Source organism: Homo sapiens, chromosome 13, assembly GCF_000001405.40.
Source record: "Homo sapiens chromosome 13, GRCh38.p14 Primary Assembly".
Classification (NCBI taxonomy): Eukaryota; Metazoa; Chordata; class Mammalia; order Primates; family Hominidae; genus Homo; species Homo sapiens.
Window position 1 is genome coordinate 48225068 of NC_000013.11, and position 12877 is coordinate 48237944.

The following is a 12877-nucleotide window of genomic DNA, read 5'->3' on the forward strand; positions in this document are numbered from 1 at the left end:
AAATGTGGGATAAAGCTCTTACTGTTTCAATCCCATTAATTATGTTGCTTTATGAATGTTTTTCTTGCTTAATAACTATTGCCAGATGCAATGTGTCTTGGGGTTTCAAATTGGAAAGATCACTTTAGTGTCTGACCACCTATAGCTGCCATTGACCACAGCTCTTCTGGAGATAAAAATAGTTCAAGTTTTCCTTGATTTTTTCAGTATATTTGTTAAATGATCATAAGAAAAGTAATTTTGTTGTGGCTCAAAAAAAAAAAACAAACGAAGTCTGTCTAAATAAGCATGATCTTCCCATTAGACTGGGTTGCAATCTATCCTTGGACTAGGCAGAAAAAGAACTATCAGAAGTCATCTTAAAGCCTTTTTTTTTTTTTCCAGTTCTTTGATTCTATTAGCTAGAACATTGTTTGAACACAAGGCAAAGTCTTCTGGCTATTAAGTCTGAGAAGATGAGACTTCAAATTTATGGTTTTCAGAAATTTGAGTTTCCCATGCCAGCCAAGTTTGTTTTTTGATTTCCTGACCAGCACTTTTTTTTCCTATTTTGACTTAGATTTAAATTGCACATATGCCTTAGATATAATAAGTATTTACAAAATACAGTCATCTCTCAGTATCCATGAGGGACTGGTTCCAGGACTCCCCTCAGATACCAAAATCCACAGACGCTCAAGTCCCTTATATAAAATGGCATAGTATTTGCATATAACCTACGCACATCCTCCTATATACTTTAAATTATCTCTAGATTACTTATAATACAAAATACAATGTAACTGTTATATAAATTATTATACTGTATTGTTTAGAAAACCATGACAAGAAAAAAGGTGTGTACATGTTCAGTACAGGCACAACCATCCTTTTTTTTTTTCAAATATTTTTGACCCCTGGTTGGTTGAATCCATGGATGCAAAACCCACAGATACAGAATACATAGATATGCGGTGTCAACTGTCCAAGATATAACATACAAAAATATTTAGAGATGTGGTATATCATGTATATATTTAAAGATGTGGTATATCATATAACCATGGTTAGTCTATGTCAGTCTTTCTCGTAAGGGTTCTGGGCAAAATTTTAAAGTTAGTTAACAATTAGATTTATCAAATGTTTCCAGGAAATAAGGTACATTTTCATACGTTCCACTGATGAAAGCATCCACACTTTAAAAGATATTTTCAGAGTCTAGGTTAAGTGATAACCTTTTCTTTTTTCATTAAAGTGCCATAATGTTAAATAATTCATAGCAACTCACATAAAGTTACCATTGCTTTTGTCCTAGCTCTGGGGAAAAGGTTAAAAAAAAGAAAAGAAAAGAAAAAAAAATATTTAGGGATCACATGAGGACTTTAAATTAGATCTTAGGGTAATTGATACATCTTTAAAAATCAAGATTAGATGGAATCTGCCTTCAGGAACCTTTATGTGTCCTACTACATATGTGTCAGGTTTATCTCATTTTAGAAAAATGGGGAAAAAAGAAAATGGTACTTTGGAAATTTGATCAATCTTCTAAGAAACCCACTGAAAGAAATTTCTTCTTACTAACTTAATATTCCTCTTTTGTTATAACAAAATTTGCTACATGCTTTCTCTATCTTAATTAATGATTTTGATAAAGATAATAAGCAAGGCAGATTCCTACACTAAACGCTGGAAAGAACAGAGTGGAGAGAGTACATGAGAGATATAAGGTTGGCTTGGTGGGATGTCACCACGCAAGGTTATGGAAGGCCTTAAGAAACGTATAGAGGAGTTTAGATCACACACACACACACGCACGCACACCCCCGCCACATATTATAAATGCAATCATGCTAAATATTAGTGTCTCCTCCTACAATCCTTGTTGTCAAAAGAATGGCTATGACAACATCAATGCCTTTATGCCATTTGCCTGGAAGTTCAAAGCCTTCCTGGATGAAGCCCAGTAGGACACTTGGTAAGGTTCAACCAAAGGAGGACAGATTTTTACAATGTTCTGCCAGCCTTGGTGCATATGTCTTTTATGTCACTTGACTTATAAATACAAGTACTGTTTATTAGACATTGTTATTAGTAATGCTGGATTTATTTGGTATTCTTTCTTCCAACATAAATAAAAGGGCATTAGAATCTTATCTCATTTATCCTCATAAAAAAGGAGAGAAGCTATTTGAACTTCTCTTTCTGCTTCTGGTGTTTCCTCCTTTCCCACTCACTCAGAAAGCCAGATCAATCTTTATAGAGCAGCCTTTTATTTTAAAAACTGATATTTGCATGGCTGGGTGCAGTGGCTCATGACTGTCTGTAATCCCAGCACTTTGGGACGCCGAGGCGGGCAGATCACTTGAGGTCAGGAGTTTGAGACCAGCCTGGCCAATATGGTGAAACCTCATCTCTACTGAAAATACAAAAATGAGCCGGCATGGTAGCGCGCACCTGTAATCCCAGCTACTCGGGAGGCTGAGGCTGGAGAATCGCTTGAACCCAGGAGGCAGAGGCTGCAGTGAGCCGAGATCACACCATTGCACTCCAGCCTGGGCAACAGTGCGAGACTCCATCTCAAAACATAAATAAATAAAGTAAAAAACAACTGATATTTGCAGAAACTTTCCACAGTCCCTTTGAGGGTAAAGTCCATACGACTAATTCTAACAGGACATGCAGCTTTATCACTCCATTGCCCATCCAGCTGTGTTCCCCACAATTACTCAGCATACACCCTCAGCCTGAGTGGGGCTTCTCTCCTCTTGCCTCAGTCCTCTTTCCTGGTCTCAGTTCTCTTCTTCATGCTCTTCCCTCCACTCAGGCTCTTCTTCCATTTCCTTTGTCTTTGCCTAAACCCTTTCCATTTCTCCAACTAAAATTTTGTCTCTTCTGTGAAACCTTACCAGGCTGCTCCAGCTCAGTCTAGACTCCAATATCATGCTATAAACAGTTGGTTTATTTGCAGAGTATTACCAGTGAAAATATGAAGCATGGTGAGGTTCAGACAAGACAAGGGTCTGAGTCCTCTGAGTGGGTTCTATCCATTCAACCACCAACCTTTGTGCATTTCTCTCTCTTTCATTTTAATAAACATTATGTTTTGAGCACTTTTAGGTTCCCAGCAAAATTGAGCAAGAAAGTATAGAGAGTTTCCATATACCCCCTGTCTCCACACACATACAACCTCCCCCACTGTCTACAGCCCCCACCAGGCTCATACACTTGTTAAATCAATGAACCTACATTGATACATTCTATGGATTTTGACAAATGGATAATGGCATTGTAGTATCTATCCACCATTGTAGTATCATGCAGAACAGTTTCACTGTCCTAAAAATCCTCCCTGCTCCTCCTATTCATCCCTTCCTCCCTTGCCACTAACGCTGATCGTTTTACTGATTAGTGGTAACCAGTGATCTTTTTACTGTTTCTATAGTTATGCCTTTTCTAAAATGTCATATAGTTGGAATTATACAGTATGTAGCCTTTTCAGACTGGCTTCTTTGACTTAATAATATGTCTTTACATTTCCTCCATGTCTTTATGGTTTGATGGTTCATTTCTTCTCAGTGCTGAATAATATTTCATTATCTGGATGTACCACAGTTTATCCACTCATCTACTGAAGGATATCTTGGTCGCTTTAACATTTTGGTAATAATGAATAAAGCAGCTATAAACATACATATGCAGCGTTTTTTGGTGGACATAAGTTTTCAACTCCTTGGGGTAAATACCAAGGAGCATAATTGTTGGATATTATGGTAAGAGTGTGTTTAGTTTTGTAAGAAACTGCGGCTGTACCATTTTCCATTTCCATCAGTGATGAATGAGCGTTCCTGTTGCCCAGCATCCTCATCAGTAATTGTTGTGGTCGCTGTTGCCGATTTTGGCCATTTTAATAAGTGTTCAGGGTATTTCATTGTAGTTTTAATTTGCAATTCCCTAATGATACAGGTAAAGATAGATGTGGAGTATCTTTTCATATGCTTAATTGCCATCTGTGTATGTTCTTTGGTAAGGGGTCTCTTCAGATTGTTTGCCCATTTTTTTAAAATGTGGTTATTGCAACTAGGGAACTGGATTTTTTGTTTTATTTAATTTTGATTTGTATTTATTTATTTGTTTGTTTATTTTTAGGGACTCCTGTGCTCAAGTGATCTTCCTGCTTCAGCCTCCCAAGTAGCTGGAACTATATAGCATGCACCACTACACCCTGTTAAGAAAAATAATTTTTTAAAATAGAAACGGGGTCTTGTTATATTGCCCAGGCTGGAGTGCAGTGACTATTCATAGGTACGATCATAACGCACTGCAACCTTGAACTCCTGGACTCAAGCAATCCTCTGGCCTCAGCTTCCTGAGTAGCTGGGACTATAGGCTTGTGACACTGCACTTAGCTTGGTGGCCTATTTTTTAATGAGGTGGTTTGTTTTGTTATTGTTGAGTTTAAAGAGTTATTTGTGTATTTTGGATTCAAGTCTTTCATCAGATACATGTTTTGCAAATATTTTCTCCTAGTCTGTGGCTTGTCTTCCCATCTTTTGATTTCACTCTTTCTATGGTTTGTGTTTCTCATCTTTTCCATCTTTTTCCTCCCTTTCTCTCTCTCTCTCTCTCTTTTTTTTTTTTTTTTTTTTTTTTTTTTTTTTTTTTTGAGACAGAGTTTCGCTCTTGTTGTCCAGGCTGGAGTGCAATGGCGCAATCTCGGCTCACCGAAACCTCTGCCCCCTGGATTCAAGCAATTCTCCTACCTCAGCCTTCCGAGTAGCTGGAATTACAGGCATGTGCCACCATGCCCGGCTAATTTTTTGTATTTTTGTATTTTTTTTTTCTTTTTTTTGAGACGAATTCTGGCTCTGTTGCCCAGACTGGAATGCAGTGGCGTGATCTCGGCTCACTGCAAGCTCCGCCTCCCGGGTTCACGCCATTCTCCTGCCTCAGCCTCACGAGTGGCTGGGACTACAGGCGCCCGCCACCACACCCGGCTGATTTTTTGTATTTTTTTTTTTTTTTTAGTAGAGACGGGGTTTCACCGTGTTAGCCAGGATGGTCTCGATCTCCTGACCTCGTCATCCGCCCGCCTCGGCCTCCTAAAGTGCTGGGATTGCAGGCGTGAGCCACCGCGCCCGGTCAATTTTTTGCATTTTTAGTAGAGTCGGGGTTTCTCCATTTTGGTCAGGCTGGTCTGGAACACCCGACCTCAGGTGATCTCCCTGCCTCGGCCTCCCAAAGTGCTGGGATTACAGGCATGAGCCACCTCACCCAGCTTCTCCCTCTCTTTCATCAGTGCAGAGCATATCCAGTCTTTTCACAAAGCAAAACAAAAATCCCAAGTGCCACAGCCAGTCAAATCAAAAGAGATCTGCATTTGTTATTAGGATAATTCCTAAAGGGTCTCGGGATATTATAGAGCCCAAGATTTGAAAAAGAAAAAAAAATGCATCTGCTAGTTCAAGGAAAATAATGATAAATTATTTTAAAATTACATGAAAATAATTTATATAAAATAAATTAAAATAATTGAAAAGCATATATAATATTGAAATAGGAAGTCGGTAAGAAAAATAAACAGTGCTTAAGTCTCTGAAGAGGTCAGTCAAAGCCTTCAAAGCTCTCACCTAGAAGAAACACTTCTTTTATGAAAGTTCAGACAAAGCCACAAGATGACCAGCTAAACTCACACATTGGGTTAAGAGAAGAGGCAACAGGAGCACATTTCAAAGGGCTTATTCAGTGACGTTGTTTCACCAAGGACCCTATACTTGTGAAAAATAAAATAAAATAAAGTTTTCCAATCATTCTGTAAAACCACAAGAAATTTCTCTGAATAAGGAATTGTTTCCTTGAGAAAGAACAGACAGAATAGAGATGTAAAGAACCTAAAAAGAAAAAAAAAATCCCTGTTGAAGCACATAATGCAAATCTATTAAAATATTTTAGAATTCAGTTCCCCACTTCCATTTTTTCCTCCCTCCTTTGGTAAGCATAAAAACAAACATGGTTGCTGGTGATATGCAGAGCTGGAATCAGATTCATCTTGCTCTCTCAAACTCAACGTCAAAAAGGAAAACAAAGGTCCTCTAAGACTCCCTTTACATTTGGTAGTTAATAGTAACTTATAACTATGTTTTTAACTTTCTTTTGTTGAGTCATGGACTCTCCTCCTCCCTGGCTCCTAAGTTTTCAGGGTCAACGGGCAACCTTTTCTAAATCACAAGACTGGATTTGCTATGTTTGGTCTTGCTCCAGCGTCTTTATTATCCCTGCTGTTGTGCACTACACAGTTCTGTAGACACATGAGATAAAATGGAGAAAAAAAACCAGGAGATTATTCCCAGACCGGTTGCCAACTGATTTTAAACTGTTGCTCACTGCAAGTACACAAAATAATGAATGGTCTTTTATTCATGAGTCTTTCAAAATAGAAATCCTGGGGCGGGGAGGATTTCTAGTTTTGTCAACCTCATTTGTTCATCCTTTGCCTCAGCTTCCTAGTCTGTTCAGTAGTGTTGTTCACGAAGAATTTTGTTTTATTTTCTTCTGTAATTCCTTTTTTCCCCCCGGAGTATAATGACAGCCAGATTCTTCTCTATCATCTACTGCAAAATGCCTTGAGTATTTTTCTACCATCTTATTTTAACACAGAACGAAGTAGGAAGGATGTACATATAATTATTTATAATCCTCCAGATCTTGCTTCCAGAAATACTTAGTCTTCAACTGTAATGTCTCAGGGAACCTATTAAACTAGGGAGCTGGAAGCAGTCGTTGACTTTGAGGAATTAGATAACATTAGATACTATGAAAGTCCAGTCCATAGAGTCAACCTCACAGAGCCGATGCCTGCACAAGGGCGACCCAGGAGTTTAAATAAGTTGCTGCAAGTATGGTTAGCTACTGTTAAAACTCACCAGAACTGGAACCTAACTCATCCTCCTCTTGGTTGAGCAGATTTCATTTTGACAGGAATTTCTGAATACCCAAAGCAAACTCAAAGTCTGGCCTGGGTTTCTATCTCAGCCCAGGATGCTTCTGAAATACATGAACAGAAGGATTTGGAGATCTTGGGCTGTTTCCCTGGGACTTATGATCTGACATTCTATGGAAATACCCAACTCCCTCCTTGAGCAGGGCCAAATCCCCAAAGATCTCAGACTGAACCCACTTTTTTCAGGGTTGGCCCAAGGCAGAGCTGACACAGCTGTAACATTCTAGAGCACACCCACAACTCTGGATGAACCAGGACAGAATGGGGTGGAAGGATACAAGATAACACATTTGTCCAAGGGGGCCGTCTGTTGACACAGTAATGAACGCAGTAACGACGGGAGCCAGTATTCTACCTCGCATTAGTTGTAAATGAAACGTCTTCAAAACATGAGAATTTTGCGTTATCCTTAATTATTTTTTCATTTTGCAGAAAAATAAAGGGACTCGTCATCGAGTACTTTGAGTCACAAATCAGCCAAGTGTGCATGTGGTTTTTTTCCAAGTACGCACAAGAGTGGAACATTTCGTTTTACGAGTGTGAGATGTTTGAAATACAAATCTGCCAAGAGCTTCCTCCACATTGGTCTGGGACTAGGCAGAACAGGCCCTGACCTCCTGAGAGAGGGAAGGAAGACCAGGCAGGTCTGAGCCAGGTAAACGCCCTTGGGTGAGGTCCGTGAAAGATAAAGTCAGATCTCAAGGACAGAGAGCTTTAAACATGTTTGTGCTCCACTGAGTCGGTTACCTAATAAGTGAGAAAATGAAGATGTGGATGCACAAAAATTCCATGGCCTTTAGGCTCGCGGTGGGGACAGGGTACAGGGAAGCGGCGGTCTGGTGCTGCCAAAGGTTAGTCCCTTGTACCCGGCGAACTCAGGAAAGTTCACTCGATTTCGCTACAAACCTGCAGCACTCGGCCTGGAGGTAACCTGGTTGGGAGCGAATTCAGAACTGGAAATTCCAGGCGGCCCAGAGGGACACCCATCCCTCTCCGAGGCGCGCCGGGATCCGGCGCCCAGCTGCGGGGCGAGGGCAGGGTCCCGCGCAGCACCCCACCCCCGGCCGCTGGCCCCGCCCCCGCCCCCGCCCCGCCTCCCAGGGGATGTGCGAGCAGTCTCCGCCCTCGCGCGGGAGCTGGGAGGCTGCGAGATCCCTACCGCAGTAGCCGCCTCTGCCGCCGCGGAGCTTCCCGAACCTCTTCAGCCGCCCGGAGCCGCTCCCGGAGCCCGGCCGTAGAGGCTGCAATCGCAGCCGGGAGCCCGCAGCCCGCGCCCCGAGCCCGCCGCCGCCCTTCGAGGGCGCCCCAGGCCGCGCCATGGTGAAGGTGACGTTCAACTCCGCTCTGGCCCAGAAGGAGGCCAAGAAGGACGAGCCCAAGAGCGGCGAGGAGGCGCTCATCATCCCCCCCGACGCCGTCGCGGTGGACTGCAAGGTCCGAGCCCGGGGAGGTCGAGGAAGCGGGTGCTGGGCCCGGCCGGGGAGGGCTGCGCGGACTGCAGCGGCAGTGCGCCCCGAGGTGGCGGGCGCGGGGCTCGCGCCGCGGGGACAAGTCCCCGAGAGAGCCCGGCGCTCCCGTTTCCTGTGGGTCCGCAGCTCCTTTGTAAGGAAGTGCGTGTGCTGGAAGCGGTGCCTGACGCGGGGTCGGGGGCTTGGGAGGCCTGGAGAGGGAACGATTGGCTAATTGTGCCGAATTCCCGGTCGTTTGTGCAGTCCGGGGAGCGTGCGTGCAGCCAGGACTTGGCTTGTTCGATCTGGGGACCGGCAGCGACAGGCACAACAACAACAACCGAGTTTGGCACTTCCTTCCCAGTATAAATAATGTACCTAAAATGGCTGACATCATTACAAGCCTAAACCTCTGTTGTTTCCCACTTTCGTTTCTAGGCTTGAACAGCACTTGGACTAAGTCCAGCAACTGTAAGCGTCTTAATTTTAAAAGCGTTTCTTTACCTCCTTTTTCCACGGCCCTTCGGTAGTGGCAGGTGAACTTCACCTGGAGAGGGGACGAAGGGACAGTCCGCCCGAAGTAGGTTTGGGCTGTCTCTTACCATTACTAGTAAAGGCCAGTAATGACTATGTGGATGTTAGTGAAAAACCAATTGTTGGCATTTAAATTGTATCAGCGTCTTTGTGAGGACTCCTGCTGCGTGAAACTAAACATGAGAAATTTGCCCCCGGGTCCCTAATAAAATTCTCCTTTATTTTACAAAATCTCCCTTTAATCCTAGGAAAATTCATGAAGTGGGGCTGTTACTGTGTTGACTTTTAGTAGGTTACGATCATATTTACTTAAATATGAGTGTAATTGTCTCATAAGTTAAAAAAGCCCACAGCCTCTTACCCAGACCCTTTTTAGGCTGCAAAAATTAGAAATTAACTGTAAAGTTATGTTGCTTATCTTATTTTTTGTTGTTGTTAGCATTTTTCAAGACCTATTATCAGTAGGGTAAATTTAGTTTTAACTTAAAAAAATTGGTGTGCCACGTATGAATAATGGGAGTTTTTATATGGACGAATGAAAATTATTGCTGAAAAACAGGCCACTAATATACTGTAAAAAATTCACAATATAATGGTAATCTAGACATCATATTATAATTTATTATATTCTGAATATAATCTATCTTCAGAATATAATGGTAATCTTACTTTCTGGAAATGTTCTGATAAAAACAGACACGTCAGAGGTTGATTTCTAAATGACTTGCCTTGCCTTGAAATAGGAACAGTGAACTGATTCCCTAAAAGGATTAAAGGTTTTGGTTTTCGTATTGGTATTGTTTTCCTGAAGCCATTGCAAACAATCTTGGTCTTTAAAGAAAATGTTTGGAATGCACAGATGAAAATTGCAGTAGCAAATTATTATGTTAGCTCTTTGTTTATCTAACATTCGTTGTACCTAAAATAGATTGAGAGTCAAGTATCCAGTCACAACAGTCTCAAATATATGTAGTCTTAATGCTATCACATATATATATATACACACATACATTTAAAAATCCTATTAACAAATATAACTGCTCCCATTTAGAAAGGAGAGAGTGAGCGAGCATTGGATGATGTCACTTCAGACAGCTTTTCTCTGTTCCGCTGTAGTGGAGATTTGAAACTCTGGACAAACATCAGAATTACATTTGCTGAGCACCATTAAATCTGACTTCTGACAATTTTTGTCATTTCTGAAATAGTGACTCTGCCAGATTCTCAAAATTGCTCACGAGTTCACCATATTTAAATTTTGTGGTCATTGCAGCTATAAGTAATCATTGGTAGCTCCGTGCTTTGTTTTCCATTTTTTATTTTCTCAGATCCTCCATATCCAAAGAAAAATACTACTGGGACTAAAGAGTGAGGGCCAGAGTCGTCTTTGTAAACCACCCAGCAGTCACGGATGAGTTGGTAGATAAAAAATGACTAATTCTTTTTCCAGCTATAAGCTGAAAGACTTCTTTAGGGGATGACAAAATATTTCTCTACATTAAAAGTAGAATCCTTATAATCAGTCAGTCGCTTAACGGGAAAAGGAAAACCTTAATGACAGACTTTTGTGAAAGAAGTTCTGATCTCTTCATTTCAGAGCTTGGGCAGTGATTACATAATGTTCTCTGGCTCCTTGCGGGTGGCTCTGTGGCAGCCACCTTGTCTGACTGCCTGGACTGGGAACAGAATCAGCCTTAATGTGTTTTGCCGAGGGCATTTCCTTTGCCTGGTTGGTTGAAAGAATCAAACCAAGCTAGTTAATGGCCTAGAACTCCTGAACAAGAATTTTTCTTATCTTTAACCCTCCCAGATCACAATATCCCGCAGACCATTGTTTTCCAAAATGTGCTCTTAGGGACCACCTGCTCTGGTTTTAAAATGCAGATTCTGTTACCTTATGCCACAAGAATTCTGATCACTCTAATCAGCTGGCTTATATAACATGCATTCCAGTACTTTTACATTGCTCCTGTCTTTCTATTTTTTTCTTCTGCAGGGTGAGAACTCTCCAGAAACAGTTCTATTACCCCATTTTTCAGTCTTATCTTTTCAGCAGCTATTAATCCTAACAGCCATTTCTATTGATAGTTTTATCTCAACTAGCTTGCTGTTTATTCTTTTCCTGCATTTTCCCCTTAATTGTTTTCACCTTCCTCCTCTCCTAGTAGGCATAAAGCTCTTAGAGCTATAGAGACAGCAAAGATGGGATGTATTTTGGGTAGCAGAAGTGAATTTGAAATTATATACATGTTTTATGCTATAGGCAACAATTCATATATTTTTGTGGCAATACTTTGAACCTTGGGAAATTGTTTTATATTTGCAGATAACAAAATACTTGATGTACTGTATCAGAAGTCCCAGTTTTGTCATTACATAACTACTTGATCTTGGGCTTAAATTTTTAGGTTTTCTGTCTGTAAGATGAGAGGGTAGGACCAGATGGCCTGTAAGGATTCTTCCAGTTTCAAAAATCTATGAAGATGCTAGGATTACATAATTATATTTGGCAGACATTAAATTGTTTTAATTGTGAAAAATAGCAACTACCTCCTCACTCTAACCAGACTATTCCCTTTCTTCCTTTTGGTGTTTAACATGTTACATTCTTCCCTCATATCAAGTAGCAGTGGGTCAAAGAGAAAGGAGATGGGTAGAGGTATTATGTAATAAAGCACATTGTCACTTCTGTTTACCTCACAGTGAACAGTGAAGTTGTCAGCACCTCTTTGTTGCAATGCCTGCTTATGAAACCCCTTTTCCAGTATCAGGCCACAGAATAGCTTAAGCTTGCTTCATATGTATCCCTGCAAGTTGTTTTGCTGACAAATAGTGTTGCTTTCTCTCTACCCCACTTTGTAGATATTCTTTAAAAGGAGAGAGAAAAGTAAAGTGCTGATATAGGAGAGAAAATAGTGGCAGGGTGAGTGCAAGAGAGAAAGTGAAGGCCGACTCACCCAGTAAAAGTTTTGAGTTACCCATGACAAATGGCTGTTTAGACCCTGGTTCTTTACCCTTTCTGGTTTTCCCTATTCACACAATCAAGACTGAAGGTTTTGATAATTAAGCTTTTCGTTTGTGGTGGTGGTTTTGTTTGTGTGTTTTTTGGGGAGTGAGGAGAAGGGACATAAAATGCATGGCTGGCCATTTACTATAATGTTGATATAATGCTCTCAAGGGATTGAGAGCTTGGTTCTCTTTAACCAAAGTGCATCTTATTACCTAGTTATGTAATTCCGTGTTTGCAGATATTGGCCAGTGAAACTTTTACATTACATTTTGGTTCTCCATGAGGATATTAATATCTGAATTGAGGGTTTAGTGCTGGGAAATAAATGAATTGCGTCTGTGCATCCCAAATGCCTTGGCAGGACCTCCTGTGTACACATCCCTGACAGGACACTGCTGTAGCATATTGGGTGTGCAAGGTTGCATATTGCACAGGATTGTAGTCTTCCCAACTAGACAGAAATGAGTATAATATACTTGGCATAATAAGCCTGAGTGACCTCATGGAATTCAACTCTGACATATAAAAGGTTTATGTGACTGGAAGTATTTTTTAAGCAGAAATATCTCAAATACGTTTATGTTACAGGCCTATTTAAATTAATTTAGAATTTGACTTACAAGGTGTTTATTATGCATTTCCAAATCTTGACTTGTGGGTAAATGTACATAGAAACATGTACTAAGTAGTCATTGGGGGAGATTTTATTTCTCTTAGTTTTATCATACCATAACTTAAATGTCTGGCGTGTCTATTCAAAACCCACATTCTTTTTCCAAAAGGAAATACTACTTCCTGAATTCCTAGATTTAACTAAAGCTTCTTGTACTGCTTTGTATGTCAGTGTCAGTAAAGGAAGACTCAGAAAAAAAAATCTTTTTGGGTTACCAGTAAAATCATCCTCTTAAA

The 12877-nt window shown here is 40.8% G+C and overlaps 1 protein-coding gene across 1 annotated transcript in view, besides 4 other annotated features; it reads left to right on the forward strand.

The window, feature by feature from the left end:
• Positions 8015-8374: a silencer, noted in NCBI's record as "silent region_5331". NCBI's record gives its function as "represses an Ori minimal core promoter by ATAC-STARR-seq in GM12878 lymphoblastoid cells {active_cell/tissue: GM12878}" and the evidence as "EXISTENCE:reporter gene assay evidence [ECO:0000049][PMID:35858748]".
• The window catches only part of ITM2B (integral membrane protein 2B), a 37152-nt gene continuing 32413 nt past the window's right edge, over positions 8139-12877 (forward strand). The window contains exon 1 of the mRNA NM_021999.5: positions 8139-8410. Within this exon, the coding sequence (NP_068839.1) occupies positions 8294-8410 (117 nt within the window). The 5' untranslated portion in view covers positions 8139-8293. The remainder of the gene's footprint in view (positions 8411-12877) is intronic.
• Positions 8385-8594: a silencer, noted in NCBI's record as "silent region_5332". NCBI's record gives its function as "represses an Ori minimal core promoter by ATAC-STARR-seq in GM12878 lymphoblastoid cells {active_cell/tissue: GM12878}" and the evidence as "EXISTENCE:reporter gene assay evidence [ECO:0000049][PMID:35858748]".
• Positions 8650-9347: an enhancer, noted in NCBI's record as "NANOG-H3K27ac hESC enhancer chr13:48807853-48808550 (GRCh37/hg19 assembly coordinates)". NCBI's record gives its function as "activates a minimal SCP1, AML or CMV promoter by ChIP-STARR-seq in primed H9 embryonic stem cells {active_cell/tissue: H9 hESC(primed)}" and the evidence as "EXISTENCE:reporter gene assay evidence [ECO:0000049][PMID:30033119]".
• Positions 10452-11039: an enhancer, noted in NCBI's record as "OCT4-NANOG hESC enhancer chr13:48809655-48810242 (GRCh37/hg19 assembly coordinates)". NCBI's record gives its function as "activates a minimal SCP1, AML or CMV promoter by ChIP-STARR-seq in naive and primed H9 embryonic stem cells {active_cell/tissue: H9 hESC(naive and primed)}" and the evidence as "EXISTENCE:reporter gene assay evidence [ECO:0000049][PMID:30033119]".